Source organism: Homo sapiens, chromosome 2, assembly GCF_000001405.40.
Source record: "Homo sapiens chromosome 2, GRCh38.p14 Primary Assembly".
NCBI classification, from domain to species: domain Eukaryota; kingdom Metazoa; phylum Chordata; class Mammalia; order Primates; family Hominidae; genus Homo; species Homo sapiens.
Window position 1 is genome coordinate 206,184,615 of NC_000002.12, and position 17,861 is coordinate 206,202,475.

The 17,861-nt window shown below is 42.3% G+C and overlaps 1 protein-coding gene across 8 annotated transcripts in view; it reads right to left on the minus strand.

The window, feature by feature from the left end:
• Window positions 1-17,861, minus strand: part of CMKLR2 (chemerin chemokine-like receptor 2) — a 42,597-nt gene that overhangs the window by 9,299 nt on the left and 15,437 nt on the right. The window lies entirely within an intron of this gene.

A 17,861-nucleotide genomic window follows, 5' to 3' on the forward strand; every position in this document is an offset into this window, starting at 1 on the left:
GTCACAGTCTGAGGTAATGGGGGTTAGGACTTCAACATATCTTTTTTTTGGTGGGGGAGGAGGGTTACCATCCAACCCATAAGACTAACTCAGGAGTGGCAACCACCATTTCTGAATCCCGATCACTCATTCATTCAGCCAATATTTGTTAATTGCTCACATTGTTCAGGCACTATTCTAGCTGATTGAGATACTTCACTAAATAAGACAGACAACTATTTCTTCCCTCTTAGATTTTATATTTACCAGGCAGGGATAGATAGTAAAAAAGTAATATTATAAAATTACATTGTATATTAAAAGATGGTAAGTACTACAGAAAGATGAAAAAATTGAAAAGGATAAAGGGAATAGAAGGTGGTTTTTAACTTTCTTTCTTTCTTTCTTTTCTTTAAGACAGTCTTGCTTTGTTGCCTAGGCTGGAGTGCAGTGGCATGATCTCGACTCACTGCAACCTTCACATCCTGGGTTCCAGCGATTCTCCTGCCTCAGCCTCCAAGTAGCTGGGATTACAGGCGTGAGCCACCACAGCCAGCTAATTTTCATATTTTTAGTACAGATGGGGTTTCACCATGTTGGCCAGGCTAGTCTCAAACTTCTGACCTCAAGTGATCTGCCCACCTCAGCATCCCAAATGCTAGGATTACAGGCTTAAGCCACTGCACCCAGCCTGGTTTTAGCTTTCAATAAGGTGGTCTGAGAAAGACTCGTTGAAAAAATAACTGCAAAGGCTTGACAGAGGTGAGGGAATTAGTCGTGGATATTTCCAGCAAGAGTGTTCCAGGCACCACTGCTATGGCAGAAGTATGTCTAACATATTCTAGAAGCAATAAGGATGCCAGTATGTCTAGGGCAGGATGAGAAAACCGAGCAAGAGGAAGAAAAGAAGGAAAAAAATTCAACAAGAATGTAGGAGGTTACATCATATAGATGCTTTTCAGCCTTTGAATGATTTTCGCAAAGGGGAAAAGCAATCTGATTTTTGTTATAGAAAGATCCCTCTTTCTGCTGTGTTGAGAATAGACTGTTAGGTATAATGGTGGGGCAAACAAGTAAGAAATGGGCAGACCAGATAGAAAATTATTGCAATAATCCTGGCCAGAGATGACGGTGGCTTGGATTAGGTGGTAGCAGTGAAGGTGATGGGAAATGATTAGATTCTAGGTATATTTTGTAGACAGAACCAACAGTTTTCTTAATGAAGTCCAATATAACCCCCAGACTTTGGAGCCTTCTGTACCAGAGTCCAAGGCCTTATACATCCCCTTTCCTCCTCTTCTCATGGGCTAGAATATAGATGCAGTGATGAGCCACCTTGCACCAAGTAAATGAAGAAAACATGGTTTTTCACAAAAAGAAGTTTGGACCCCTGGGTGACCTCGTGGAACAGAGCTGCCCTACTTTTCTGGACCACCTCCTTTGGATTACTAAGTGAAAATATTCTCCTGGAATCCTTTTGGGCTATTTTTTTCTCACAAAACCGTGTGGGTCTGTGGAATGGGCTTTTTTTTTTTTTTGATGGAGTCTCACACTGTCACCCAGGCTGGAGTGCAGTGGCGCAATCTTGGCTCACTGCAAGCTCTGTCTCCCAGGTTCATGCCATTCTCTTGCCTCAGCCTCCTGAGTAGCTGGGACTACAGGTGCCCACCACCATGCCTGGCTAATTTTTTGTGTTTTTAGTAGGGATGAGGTTTCACCGTGTTAGCCAGGATGGTCTCGATCTCCTGACCTTGTGATCCGCCTGCCTCGGCCTCTCAAAGTGCTGAGATTACAGGTGTGAGCCACCGCGCCCGGCCGGAATGGGCTTTTGTTAAAGCAGCTGAACATGTATCCTAACTAATATAACTTCTCTAGGCCCTACCTTTGAGCACTGTGGTGGAGCCCTGGCAGTGCTCACCTCCTGTGACAAGATGTTATAAGAAGTCTTTGAGGTAGGAGCTATTTCTCACAATGGTTATGGCTTCAGAAGCTCACTGGAGGAGGGAGAGGGGAGCTTCCCTTAGAGGGGACAGAAAGGGAAAGAAGCTGGCCTTTTGAGGAGGAACTCTTACCCCAGCAATGGTTAGGGAGCTATTTAGGAAATCCCCTTTTTAGCCATGAAGACTTAACATGAAGGAGGTTTTGCAGTTGACTATGGTGGGTTAAAGAGGTGCTGCTGGTAAGACTCTGCTGCCTTTTTTTTTTTTTTTTTTTAAGACAGGGGTTTTGCTCTGTCACCCAGGCTGGAGAGCAGTGGCAGAATCATAGCTCACTAGGCAGTAACCCAGTTACCCTGATTAGATAATGAAGTAGGCCAGGCACAGGGGCCCACACCTGTAATCCCAGCACTTTTGGAGGCTGAGGCGAGGGGACTGCTTGAGCCCAGGAGTTCAAGACCACCCTGGGCAACACAGTGAAGACCCTGCCTCTATGAAAATAAGAATACATTTTTTTCCAAAAAAGAGAATGAAGGCCAGGCCCAGTAGCTCATGCCTGTAATCTCAACATTTTGGGAGGCCAAGACGGGCAGATCACTTGAGGTAAGGAGTTCGAGACCAGCCTGGCCAACATGGGAAAACCCCATCTCTACTAAAAACACAAAAATTAGCCAGGCGCAGTAAGGCGGAGGTTGCAGTGAGCTGAGATCACACCACTGCACTCCAGTCTGGCAACAGAATGAGACTCCATCTCAAAAAATAAAATAAAAAAAAGAATGAAGTAGAAGTGGGTCAGGTGTCTGCTAAGTTATACTTTGAACTAGAAACATGGTTGAGCGCAACTTTGGGGCAGAGCACAGCTTACAGGTAGGAATTGACAGACCCAATCTGTGGAGATTAGATCGTGAAAATGAACTGTGTGATAATGCAATCTCAAAGTAATATCGGTGCTCTCAAAGGAAAAATGTGTTTACAAAGAAAGCTTACTACCTTGAGCATTTCTGCCGACTTAAATTTAAGGGCCTATAGAGATGTTTCTTTAAATTATTAAAAAGTGGTATTACACTGTATAATCAATCATGTTGTGTTGTATTTCTCTGTTTATTTTTGGTGGGATAAGAAAGAAAGGACAAAAAGAGACACAAAAAGAAAATGGGGGAAATTTTTCCTCAACTTAGCCGTGTGAAGATAAACATAGATACATGCACACACATATATACATATGCATATATACAAGTAGTTTTTGAGAGATGATGGGAGGATGTGAATGAAGGATCAGAGGTGAATAGGAGGGATGTCTGGGCAATAGAAAGAAGCTGTGGTGGGCAGTAACCAAAAATGAAGACAGATAGTAGGTGGATATTAGGTCTCTTTTTTTAATTTTTGAGACAGAGTCTCTTTCTGTCATTCAGGCTGGAGTGGAGTGGCGCAATCTTGGGTCACTGCAACCTCCACCTCCCAGATTCAAGCAATTCTCACTCGAGAATCAAGTATGAAAAATCAAGTGCTCTTTGTGCCTCAGCCTCCCAAGTAGCTGGGATTACAGGCGTGTGCCACCACACCTGGCTAATTTTTGTATTTTTAGTAGAGACAAGGTTTTGCCACGTTGGACAGGCTGGCCTTGAACTCCTGACCTCAAGTGCTCCATCCCCTTTGACCTCCCAAAATGCTGGGATTACAGGTGTGAGCCACCACACCCAGCAGCATTAGGTCTTTAAATCCAGGTTTAAAATAAAGAGGATCATTAAACACGCAGGATCAAGTGGTCTTGGATGGCAGTGACTTTCCATTGAGATGTCCATGTAGTTTTCTCAGTTTGGAAGAGCACAATAACAATGCCAGGATAAGGCTTTTCGACTTGACAGAAAAGAAGAAATAGCTACTGTATTTGTCTTAAACCATATGTGCTGCTGAAAGGCAAATAAATAATTCTGACTGAAATGAAGACTAATAAAGGTCTCTATGATCATAAAAAGTTTGTGTAGCCACTTAACCTCCAAGCTGTATTGTGAACAGGGATATATGTAGGGCCACCCAAGTCTCTTAAAAATGTGTGAAAAATGCTTGGTGTGAAGCAAAGTTCAGAGAACCTCTATGAAGTCTCTGGTTTATGTTCCAAAGAAAGTGAAGGGACATATTTACTGCAGGGATTCAGCTGCTTGGAGGACCCACGTTATCACATTCCTGGGTTACTTCCACCTAGATACTCAAATGGCAAATCATGTGGTTGTGGAGCATAGAACTACCTATTGAATTAAACAATCTAGTGTCTGATCTATTCAGGTGTAATAGATGGCAAAGCTGAAACTCTTTTCTGAATAAATAAATTTTACTGCAAGAGTTCTGGCAGAAAGTGTAATAATAAACAGTCTATAAAATCCAGATGATTTTGGGGAAGGACACCTGGTAGAACTGTGTAACATTAAACTTTAAAATGTGGCTTTAGATGAGGTTTGGCTATAGAGGGAAACATTTTGTTCATCTACCTGGACAAAACACAAAGATTCCTTCTGGCAGAACATTTGGCGAATGAAGAGAGGTTTAATTTTGTTCTGTATTGTTGAGTTAGATAGGTTTTTCATGGATCACTGCAAAAATGTACACCTCACAGAATCTTAAGGCAGTTTAGGCTCTAAGCTGATTTGAACAGAGAGAAGGACTTGATATTGTGAACTCTGTCTACGTAGGTTGCCTGTGTAGAGTTCCTCACACACTCTGGTAAAAAGAACTCAAGCTCTGAATGTGTCTCCTGTTAACACCACAGGGGCCCTTGGGGGAACATGTATTTTGCTTCTGACCGGATAACAGGGAGGAATAGAAAAGGCAGGGAGCGGTGGCTCACGCCTATAATCCCAGCACTTTGAGAGGCTGAGGCAGGCAGATCACTTGAGGTCAGGAGTTCAAGACCAGCCTGGCCAACATGGTGAAACCCCATCTCTACTAAAAATAGAAAAATTAGGTGGGTGTGGTTGTGCGTGCCTGTAGTCCCAGCTACTCAGGAGGCTGAGGGAGGAGAATTGCTTGAACTCAGGAGGTGGAGGTTGCAATGAGCAAAGATGGTGCCACTGCACTCCAGCCTGGGCAATAGAGTGAGACTTCATCTAAAAAGAAAAAAAAAAAAGAAAAGAAAAGAATGAATAGAAAGAATTGATGGACACAAGAGAGAAATTCTCCAGTAAAAACCACAGATCCATGACCTAGCAAACATATGGTCAGCAAGCTGTTTTTCAAGGGCTGTCTTCTTAGGGAAGAAAGATTTTTTGAAACATGTATATGTGTGTGTTGCCCCAGGGGGTGGTATTTGGGACATTGCTCAGTATTTTCCACTGTCAAACATAAACTATACTACACCCCAGAATGTACTCAAGATGTTTGGCATCAGTAGAGTATTTTGTTGCCATTCAGATGAACGATCTCTGCTTGGAAGGCGTTGAGGCACAGCAACACGTTAAAAAGAGACCCTGTTTATTCACCCAAGGGAAGCAAAGGGAGGTTAGATGGAAATTGAAGGTTGGGTGGTGATATTGTTGCTGCTGCCAGTTGGGAGGTGGTAGAACAACCCTCACACTCCAACCCCTGGCATAGCTTATCCTGTAATAGAGATGCAGCTTGCCTAGCTGTAGTTCCCATGTCATTTATTACTTAATGCCAGGCATTAAGACAAATGACAATATTCTTTGGTGTATTAGGAAGAATGAAAGTATTCTGATTTGGCTCGAGAAGGGACAACATAAATGGGAGTGTTCTGATGACAAAGGCCTTTGAATGTCATGCTTAAGGGTTTGGATTTTATTCCATTGCTCCCAAAGCATGTAAAAATGTTTGTAGCAAGGAGTGATGTGACAGAATATTTGTTTTTGTAAAGATCATCTGGTAGCAGTTTGCAAGATGGTTTGGAAAAGAATTTGAATGGAAGTAAGACAATCATTCAGGAGCCTGTTACCACAATGGAAGTCGAAGATGGAAGGTCCTTAGACAGTGAGAGAATTGAGATGAGGGAGATGTATTTGAAAGACATTGATTTGAGAAATGAATAGAATCTTTCAGGAAGCTTAGCTGAATTGCATATAATCTTCACAATAACGTTTTTCTTGAGTTGGCATTGAAAACCTTGAACAGAAAAGCGAACTAATTTTAGGGATACAAATGTTTTTATCAGTTTTAAAGGCAGCGAGATTGGGAGAAAGAAAGAAAGTTTTTCCTTTTCAAAGAATAATTGAATCAAATGGAAATTAATGATACCTATTTTCACGATGCTGAGATCGAATTCTTGTCATAAAAGGCATTTGCAGCCTGATCTGCATGTCAGCCCCCATGCTTCACTTTGACAGTTTGAAAAGAGAACACAGCACATGTACCGGAAGTCAACGCCTACTTATGTACCTGTTGTTTTAATGCTCCACCCAGAAATTAGTGTTCTAACTTGTATAATCTGTATGGCTCTGTTGATTGCTGGGGGTGAATGATTATCCTTAGGTTAGGAAGAAACTTTTAGGCTTAATTCCTTTGCAAGACTTTAAGATAATTAACACAGATGTATAATGTAAATATCAGGCAATATCGTGGTCTATGGGTTGTAGAATTAGACTGCCTGCTCTCAAATCCCAGTCCTTCCTGTTTCTGGCTGTGGGATCATGGACAAATTACCTGCTACCAAGAAATCTGTTTCCTTACTTGTTAAAATGGGAATAGTAATAGCACCTAACTCATGGGGTTGCTGTAATGTTCACATGGGGAAATCCTTAAAAAGTGGTTAGCTCAGTGCCTGGCACACAAAGCATGCTCGATAATTGTAGGTATTGATCATTACCTACAAGTTTTAGCTTAGGACTTTTAAAAGCAGTAGAGAATAAAGGGGAAGGCAGAGAGAGAGAGTGGGACTTCTTTGAGTTACTTCATGAGAAGGGTGAGAAGATTTTAAGTAGAGATTCAAAAACATGTTTTGTTTTGTGGACTTTGTTAAAAAAAATACTGAATCTGCATGGAGTTCACACATTATTATATGTCTGCCTTCTGAAGGCATCTGAGTTGGGGACCCCTGTGTCTAGCCCCAAAATGCCATGTTTATCACCATATCTGGTTAAGAGTGGTGAGAAAATATTATACTGTATAGTACTATATTTCTCTTACTTCTCTTTCTTTTTTTTTTTTTTTTTAGACAGGGTCTGGCTGTGTCACCTAGGCTGTAGTGTAGTGGTGTGATGTTGGCTCACTGCAGCCTTGACCTCCCAGGGCTCAAGCAATCCTCTACCTCAGCCACCCGCAGCAGCTGGGACCACAGAGGCATGTGCCACCATGCCCAACTAATTTTTTTTTTTTTTTTTTTTTGATACAGAGTCTCGCTCTGTCACCCAGGCTGGAGTGCAATGGCGCGATCTCGGTTCACTGCAACCTCTGCCTCCCGGGTTCACACTATTCTCCTGCCTCAGCCTCCTGAGTAGCTGGGATTACAGGCGCACACCACCACACCTGGCTAATTTTTTGTATTTTTTTTAGTAGAGATGGAGTTTCACTATGTTGGCCAGGCTGGTCTTGAACTTCTGACCTCGTGATTTTCCCACCTCGGCCTCCCAAAGTGCTGGGATTACAGGCATGAGCCACTGCGCCAGGCCTACTTTTTGTATTTTTTAGTAGAGATGGGGTTTTACCATGTTGCCCAGGCTGGTCTCGAACTCCTGATTTCAAGTGATCTGCCCACCTCAACCTCCCAGTGTACTAGGATTGCAAAAATGAGCTACCGGGACTGGCGTTCTCTTTAAAAAAAAAAATTTATTTATTTTTTTTTTATTTTTTATTTTATTATTTTATTTTATAAAATAAATTTTATTTGAATTTTGATTCAATTATATTTTATTATTTTTTATTTTTATTTTTATTTTTCTGTTTATTTGGTTGGACATGGTGGCTCATGTTTGAAATCCTAGCATTTTGGGAGGCTGAGGTGGGAGGATTGCTTGAGGTCAGGGCTTCAAGACCATAGTGAGAACCCTGTCTCTTAAACAACAACAACAAAACACAACAAAGCAAAACAAAAACTCCTTGTTTACCTTTGCTATAAGGATACAGTCTAGGTCTTTATCTCATGCTCTACCACTTTTTTTTTTTTCTATTTCATAAACTGAAACAAGTGGTAACTTCTTCCCAAACTTTATCTCAAGTCTTGGAAAGAATCACAATGTAACGATGTAATGTAATCAGCAATGTAATGTTTGAAAATCTTGATCATAGTAGAGAGAAATCTCCAAATTAGTACAGTTATCCTTCAGTATCCACAGGACATTGGTTTCAGGACCTCCCACACATACCAAAATCCAAGGATGCTCAAGTCCCTGATATAAAATAGTATAGTATTTGCATATAACCTATGCACATCATTCCATATACTTTAAATCCTCTTTAGAGTAGTTATAACATCTAATACAATGTAAATGCTATAAAAATAGTTGTTGTATTGTTTAGGGGATAACAATAAGAAAAAAAGCCTGGGCATGTTTAGTACAAATACAGCCATTGATTTTTTTTCTTCTGAATATTTTTCGTCTGTGAAACTCAGATATGGAGGGCCAACTGTGTTTTCTTTTTTTTTGAAACCAAGTCTTGCTCTGTCACCCAGGCTGGAATGCAATGGCACGATCTTGGCCCACTGCAACCTCCACCTCCTGGGTTCAAGTGATTCTCTTGCCTCAGCCTCCTGAGTAGCTAGGATTACAGGTATCCGCCACCATGCCCAGTTAGCTTTTGTATTTTTCATAGAGACGGGGTTTCACCATGTTGGCCAGGCTGGCCTTGAAATCCTGACCTCAGGTGATCCACCTGGCTCAGCTTTTCAAGGTGCTGGGATTACATCACACCTGGCCCCAGCTGTGTTTTCTTAAAAAGAGATTTCTGTGTATACAAGTAACTTTTTATCAGGAAGAATATGGGCACTGAATTTGGAAACCTTGATGGCACAGGACTTCTGTAACTTTACATTTGTAGGGCATGTGACTGGACAACTGTTAGAGATCTGAAATGTTTAGTTTATGTTGCAGATATGTTCATCCATATAAAGAGTCAGAACTAAAGCTTGCATCCTCTTTAGTGTCTTCTGGGCAATGTTATGTATCGTAACGTAACAAAGGACTGATTTTGGAAGCAAGCATCATAGCAGGGTACCTACCAGATTATAAAACTTCTCATAAATAGATATTACCCATGGTTTAAATATTTTTTAAAGGCTAAAAATGACTATGTCTGAGACTAGAATATTTAATCATGACCTGAATTCTCTGCAGGCCAAGATAGCCTTCCAAAATTTCCACTGGGGAACATGGTGGAAATTTGTACTCCTGTATCTCTGCTTTCTATTTCATCATTATTTGGCACTGAAGATGTTTTGGTTCTCAATCACTCATTGTCAGTGACATTGATAGAAGTCCAGGGAGAATATCCAGTTTAGGGTGGAAACTGAATTGGTGGTCAATGTATTCTTATTTTAATTTACATCAAGATACTTCCTCTCTTAAAGAAAGAGAAGGCTTTCTCCTAAAGGGGAGGGAACAGTAATCAGGGACCTTGCAGAATATATTGAGATTGCAGCCACTTCACAAAACAATACTGTTCATTATCCGGAGAGGTAATACATGAACTCAATGAAGGGGAGGGAAGGGAAACTTGTTTTTGTAGCAACAGTAATGCTGTTTCAACACAGCAGCAAAAGGAGGGGGAGGAGGACAATTCTAGAACTTCCTTTCATTCGTACAGATTATGCTTGAAAATATTTGTGCCTTTTTTTCTCCTAGGAGGAGATACAAAGGAGTATAGGATAAGATGTAGACATAAAAGATAAAGCACAGGTTAAAAGACTTGCTCGTTGACCACAACTAAACAATGTGGGTGCCAGATTCATTATTATGATGATTTAATGGTTTAAGACATTCGTTATGGGCTTTTTTTTTTTTTTTTTGGTGACAGAATATCGCTCTGTCACCCAGGCTGGAGTGCAGTGGCGTAATATGGCTCACTGCAACCTCTACCTCCCAGGTCCAAGCAGTTCTCATGCCTCAGTCTCCCAAGTAGCCACGCCCGGCTAATTTTTGTATTTTTAGTAGAGACAGGGTTTCACCATGTCGGCCAGGCTGATCTTGAACCCCTGGCCTCAAGTGATCTGTCCGCCTCAGGCTCCCAAAGTGTTGGGATTACAGGCATGAGCCACCACACTGGGCCATCATAGACTTTTTTTTTTTTTTTTTTTTTTTTTTTGAGACGGAGTCTCGCTCTATCGCCCAGGCTGAAGTGCAGTGGCACAATCTCGGCTCACTGCAAGCTCTGCCTCCCAGGTTCACGCCGTTCTCCTGCCTCAGGCTCCCAAGTAGCTGGGACTACAGGCACCAGCCACAAAGCCTGGCTAATTTTTTTTTGTATTTTTAGTAGACACGGAGTTTCACTGTGTTAGCCAAGATGGTCTCGATCTCCTGACCTCGTGATCTGCCCGCCTCAGCCTCCCAAAGTGCTGGGATTACAGGCATGAGCCACCATGCCCGACGCATCATAGACATTTTAAATTATTTTATGGTAATGAAAACAAAGGTAGCAACTGCAACACTATTTTCTCATGGCCAATCTATATTTGGAACAGTTTGTTGAGTTCTGCAAAATGGACATTGGAGAGACCACTGGAAAACAAAAGCAGTGCAAAAGAAAGAACTCTGCAGGGTGATGGAGGGGACTTGAAATTAGTCTTTGTTGGAATGCTTAAGGAACCAGTGAGAAAGGAGGACTTAAGGAGTTTCATGACTATCTTCAGATACTTGAAGATGCTAGGGCAGAAAATGTTGGCATAATAGTCAAGAAAATTTTGACTTAGAAGCAAGACGTTGCATCTGTTTAATATCCAGAAAGTTAAAAGTCTACCAAGAAAGCAAGCAAGCAAGCAGAATGCATTGCATTGGGTGGGCACTAAGGGAGTTTGATCACAGCCTGGATGCTGCTGGCTGGGGATACTCCAGAAGGCACTGACTCATGCACTAAGTGGACTTTTCACATCATCCTTCAAGGGCAAGACTCTATGATAATGGATATCGTTTTTGAGCTCTTATTCTCTATTTACAGATTAGGAAGCTGAAAATCAAGAAAATTAAAGAATTTATAAAAACTCTTCAGAGGCCAGGCGCAGTGGCTCACGCCTGTAATCCCAGCACTTTGGGAGGCCGAGGCAGGCAGATCACCTGAGGTTGGGAGTTCGAGACCAGCCTGACCAACATAGGGAAACTCCATCTCTACTAAAAATACAAAATTAGCTGGGAGCAGTGGCGCATGCCTGTAATCCCAGCTACTCGGGAGGCTGAGGCAGAAGAATCCCTTGAACCTGGGAGGCGGAGGTTGCAGTGAGCCGAGATCACACCATTGCAATACAGCCTGGGGAACAGGAGTGAAACTCCATCTCAAAAACAAACAAACAAACAAAACCCCAAAAACTATTCAGTGGCATGATTAGCATTCTTATCTAAATTGGTAAATGCCTATGTTCTTAACCACCAGGCATTTGGGGCACAAGAATCCTTCTTCAAAAGTGCTTAAACCAGGCCAGGCGTGGTGGCTCATGCCTGTAATCCCAGCACTTTGGGAGGCTGAGGTGGGCAGATCACTTGAGTTCAGGAGTTTGAGACCAGCCTGGCAAACGCAGTGAAACCCTATCTCTACTAAAAATACAAAAATTAGCTGAGCGTGGTGGCACACGCCTGTAATCCGAGCTACTTGGAGGTCGAGGCAGGAGAATCGCTGGAACCCTGGAGGCACAGGTTGCAGTGAGCCAAGATCATACCACTGCATTCCAGCCTAGGCGACAGTGAGACTCTGTCTCAAAAAAATAAATAAAAATAAAAATAAATAAATAAATAAATAGTGTTTAAACCAGGAGAGAGCGATGCTGAATTTAGAGAATAAATCTACATTCCTTTTCTAGAGCTGCACCTGTGGCTGAATGAAAAAACAAAACAAAACACAAAATAAACCATTCTTCCCTGCAGAGGAGGATGACTTGATAGGAGGAAGCCCAGAACGATGCATGGAAAAGAAAGCGACTTTGATTCTTTCTCAGACTCTTCCTCACCACTCCCCTCTTCTCACCTCCACCTCCAGGCCCAGTGGAGCAGCCAGTTTGTAAGAACAGTTTTTAATTTTGAGCTTTTATCATAGCTTTATTTTAGTACTACGTCAGAAGTCCACATTTGCCCAGAGTCTGCTCTGTTCCTCGGGCTGGTTCTGACTCTGTTGTTAAAGTCACTGCAGGATGACTTTACAAGAACCAAATTGCCAGATGTAAACCAACTCTCATCCAGCCTCTGGCAGCTGGATTCTGAGGAATAAATGAAGAGAGGACACTCAGGAAAAGCATATTCTTTTTTTGTTTGTTTTTTAGACCAAGTCTTGCTCTGTTGCCTTGGCTGGAGTGCAGTGGCGTGATCTCGGCGCACTGCAACCTCCACCTCCTGGGTTCAAGTGATTTCTACTGCCTCAGCCTTCCGAGTAGCTGGGACTACAGGTGCGCACCACCACGCCCAGCTAATTTTTGTATTTTTAGTAGAGACGGGGTTTCACCATATTGGCCAGGCTGGTCTCAATCTCTTGACCTCGTGATCTGCCTGCGTCGGCCTCCCAAAGTGCTGGGATTACAGGCGTGAGCCACTGCGCCCGGCCCAAATGCATATTCTTTACTGCTCCAGAGCTGGTTAAGTCCCACATGCCCTTTCAGTCTCTCTTGGTGACCTATAGGACTCCTATGTGAACCTGTAGGACTGCATTTGTCCAAGGGCCTGTCCTTTCTTCTGGGACCCAGTGTGATTGCTTCTAGGTTTTTTTCTTCTGGGTTTTCTAAGGGCAAGGGTACTTTCAAATGGTGCAAATCCAGGTGCTGGTTAACACTTCAGGCACAGGACATGGATGAGAGAGAAGAAAATTAAACAGGGAAAGAAAAATTTTAACCCAGTATCTTGCTGTAATCAAAGCCCTCCAACTAAACCCCTTTGTAGGGTTCTGGGGATTCCATTTTGTGCTCTGCCTAGCAGTGCTCTTGAATGGAATGGGGTTCATTATGGGAGCAGTGCCCTGTAGAGGTTATGACCCACTATCACATCTTGAGTTTCCCCTTTACTCTTCAGCTTCATTTAAAAAATTTCATTGTAATTATAAAATTTTTTTTGTAGAGATGGTGTCTTGCTATGTTGCCCAGGCTGGTCTAGAACTCTTGAGCTCAAGCAATCCTTCCACCTCGGCCTCCCAAAGTGCTGGGATTACAGGTGTGAGCCACCATGCTCAACCCAGTCTCACTTTCTTTTTGTAGTTTTACCCTCAAAACTGCCATCACTTTTTAATTAAAACAAATGACAGCCATTTTCTCTCAATACACTGTTGTGCACAAAGGTTTGTGATCCATCTTCGAACACCTGGACAGCTCACTCTACACATCTAGGGATTCCAGCCAGTGGAATATTTTCCATGTTGGTTTTCCCCCTTGATCCACCCAAAAGTTCAGATTGTATGATGGAGGGTTGACGTTAGGGTGAGACAGGCGAAGCTGGGTTATGGAAGAGCAGCGTAGGACCTTGTCTTTGTTTAAAAATTTGATATTTTGTTAATCATGGATTATTTTCCATTAATTTTAATTACTGAGGCTTTTGGTGCCCTGTTAAATTTTGCCTCAATTGCCTTATCCTAGTTCTGACCTGCCGTAACACTTGATCCTGTTTAAGTCCGTGGATATTTGGCAGTCCTGTGTGCTGAAAAAGCACTGGAACTTAGGAGAGATGGTTCTAAAATGTAGCTCTGAATATCACTAACTATGTAACTTTGGGTGGGTCAGTGGCCCAATTGGGACCCCAGGTGTCTCATGTGGAAAATACAGGTGACATCTAATTCTAAACTTTTATGATTCTGCCCCTGGTGTTTCCTAACTGAGAAGCTCAAAGATGGCAGCACCGTATATTCTAGCTCTTTTATTACTCTCCATGCCTCAAACTAGCACCAAATCCGGTCCCTTGCACAGAGTGGACATTCAAACAATGTCTTCCAGTAAATGGTTTTTTGCACATTGGAACAAAAATATAGATCAAGGTCCAAACCAAAAAGCCTATACAAATTAAAAACATTCTGCAAATGAAAACAAAACCTTCCCAAACAAGAATATTGTACCTCCCTCATTCCTCCCACAGAAAAGAAAAATTATTAGTGTTTCTGATTCGTGAAAGTATGGCAAAGTCTTACTGCTTTCTTTTCCCCCCAGGAAATATTCTATTCAAATATTTCAGGTTTTGAGTGAAGCAGACTTATGTAATCATCCTGCCTTTGGGGATTTCTGTCCATCTAAAGATGCTAGAACCACCCTAATGAGTCACAGTTCATAAAATGTAACATCTGTGAGGGAAGGTTATAAACATCAGCAGTGCCCAGAACAGCTGTAGAATTTTAGAAGAAATAGAATTTCCACTTCCCAACTAGTTCTTCATATTTAAGTTCACATAACTAGAATGTAGGGAGAGAGAGAGCATTTGTGCATATAGCCCAAACCCCCTTTTCTTTTCTCCTCTTTTTTCCTTGAGAGAGAGGGAGGCTGGGTGCAATGGCTCACACCTGTAATCCCAGCACTTTGGGAGGCCCAGGTGGGCAGATTACTTGAGACCAGGAGTTCGAGACCAGCCTGGCCAACATGGTGAAACCCCATCTCCACTAAAAATACAAAAAATTAGCTGGGCGTGGTGGCACATGCCTACTATAATCCCAGCTACTCGGAGGCTGAGGCAAGAGAATTGCTTGAGCCTCGGAGGTGGAGGTTGCAGTGAGCCAAGATCGCACTACTGCACTCCAGCCTGGGCAACAGAGTGAGACTGTCTCATTTAAAGAGAGAGAAAGAAGACAGAGAGAGTGAGCATGAGTGCGAGCACATGCGCAAGAAAGAATGCCGGGAGGGAAAGAGGCAAAGGAGGGAAGGGAAAAGATCCTGGTTCAATGGTAAAATACATGACCTTCAAATAGAAAACATATTTTAAGCACTCTTTTCTTTATTCTTAGCCTATTTTGTATTACGGCATTTTTTTTTTTTTCCCCCGAAATGGAGCCTCTTGCTCTGTCTCCCAGGCTGGAGTGCAGTGGCTCAATCTCAGCTCACTGCAACCTCTGCCTCCTGGGTTCAAGCAATTCTCCTGCCTCACCCTCCCAAGTAGCCAGGATTACAGGCACCCACCACCACACCTGGCTAATTTTTGTATTTTTAGTAGAGATGGGGTTTTGTCATGTTGGCCAGGCTGGTCTCAGGTGATCCACCTGCCTCGCCCTCCCAAAGTGCTGGGATTACAGGCGTGAGACACCGTGCCCGGCCCTATGACATCTTTTCCACATACCTATTCTCTAACCAGTGGTAGAAATGAGAGGGCAAGAACCACTGTAGAGACACTTCTTGACATATTGTAAATTGCTTCTGGACATGAAGAGTATATACCAATAGCTGTATAGTAAGTCATTTTAATTTACTTAATCTTTCTTTCATAGTTGATATTAATCACCCTGTCCCAGAAACAAAGGTCTTGTACTTGAGGGAAATGAAAGTGACCTTCTAAAGGCCATTAAGAATGGTGGGTCGGCCGGACGCAGTGGCTCATGCCTGTAATCCCAGCACTTTGGGAGGCTGAGGCGGGCGGATCACCTGAGGTCAGAAGTTCGAGATCAGCCTGGGCAACACAGTGAAACCCCATCTCTACTAAAAATACAAAATTAGCTGGGCCTGGTGACACATGCCTGTAATCCCAGCTGCTCGGGAGGCTGAGACAGGAGAATCACTTGAACCTGGGAGGCGGAGGATGCGGTGAGCCGAGATGGCGCCATTGCACTCCAGCCTGGGCAACAAGAGTAAATCTCCGTCTCACCAAAGAAAGAAAAAGAATGGTGGGTCATACAAAGGATGGATATAGGCACATATCTGCACTGTCTATGGTCTCAATACTTTAGACAATTCAAAAGCCAAGTACATCTCCAGGTATTCAAATTCAAGAAAACAGTCACAAAATGTCTTGACACTTATACCAGTAATACAATATACCTTCACTGAAACATAACACAAGCACTTTTCCTTTTTATTTATTTTTATAGAGATGGGATCTTGCTATGTTGCCCAGGCTGCACTAGCACTCCTGGCCCCAAGAGATCCTCCCTTTCAGCCTCTGGAGTAGCTGGGATTACAGGCATGTGCCATCGTACCTAATAGGCAGTTTATTTCTGACAAGGAACTTGGAAGGAACACAGTAAAAAACCATCTGATACAAGAAAATTTTGTTTTAAAAATTCTACTTTTAGAATAATTTCTGTATCTTTTGTTCTCATCACAGATTTTCTCTAACAAGGCAAAATCAGACAAAGCATGTTTTTTCCTTTTCTTTCTTCCTTGCGTTTTATTTTTACTGTTATTTTTTAGCGGTAGGGTCTCACTCTTTCTCCCATGTTGGAGTGTAGGGGCACAATCATAGCTAACTGCAACTTCAAACTCCTGGACTCAAGGGATCTTCCCACTGTAGCCTCCTGAGTAACTGAGATTACAGGCACCCACCACCACTCCTGGCTAATTTTTGTATTTTTTGCAGCGATGGGGTTTTACCATGTTGGCCAGTCTGATCTCAAACTTCTGACCTCAAGTAATCCTCCCAGAGTGCTGGGATTATAGGTGTGAGCCACCCTGCCTGGTCAGCATTCACTTGTTAAGCAACACCTGCCCTGAACTTTATGCCAGTTGCCATGCAAAGCAAATAATCTTCTCCAACAGGTTTTCCTAGCAGATAATGTGTCTAGGCAGAAATTGCAGGCCCTGAATTATTTCCTTAAAATGGATTTCATAATTCTACATTAAAGAGATACGTAATATTGACTAATGGCTTATTTAGTGCCTTTTCACCATGAAAAGGAAGTAAATGTAGTGTACCCCAGCGGGGTCCCACACAACCACTTTTCATATACATTTCCTTTGAACCATTCACCAAGGGCATCACAATTAGTGCCCTGTGAAGACCTGGTCTGTGATTTAAACAACCTAAATTTCTGCCCAAACACAACCTTTCTCCTTGACCTTGAGCTCCATGTGAGTCAACAACGGGATGAGACAGCTAAAAAAAAAAAAAAGTAACTTTGCCCTTGGGCTGTCTTAATAGAATTGGGGGAGTGTTTATCCAATTCTACTTGAACTGATCAGACAGCACCTAGGGGTACTGTGTTCTTTTCTGGGAATTACAGTTTAAGAGAAACAATGATAAACTGAAATATGTCCAGAGGAGAGGGAACCGGATGGAGAGAAACTATATCATGTGAGGAGCATTGAGCAAACTGGTGGAAGCTATTTATCCTGGAAAAGAAAGAGCAGGGTAACAATTTTTTCAAATGCCCAAGGGCTGGCATTTGGAAGAGGGAACTATTCAAACTGGCTTCAAAAAATTGAGGGGCGCTAATGTTAGCTCAATGTAAGGCAGAATTTCCTAAAGATTATAGTTGTTAAACATTTAAAAACTAAATTAAATGAATTATTTATTCAGCACCTACTATGTATTCTAGGCCCTGGAGAGAGAGTAGGACACAGAACTTATGGAGATTTCATTCTACTGTAAAGCTATGTCAGAGGGTGGTACATTTCTCATACTTGGAGATGTTTAATGATGCAACCTTAAAGTGAGGGGTTTTAAGCAGGAAATCAGACATTACACGTGATTGGACTTGTTGATGTCTAAAATTCAGTAAGCGCTGAAACCCTAAGGTTCTGTTAGGTTCTACTAAGTTTTTTGAAGGGATGGGGTGACATGGAGGCTATAGAGAGAAGACGGTATGAAATATATTTTTTAAAATAATCTTTAGACTGTTTGAAACGGGGTGGAGTCAGATTGGCTAAAGATCATAGGATCACAGCCTTGGTTTTGTGTGTGTTTTTTCCCTTTGTTT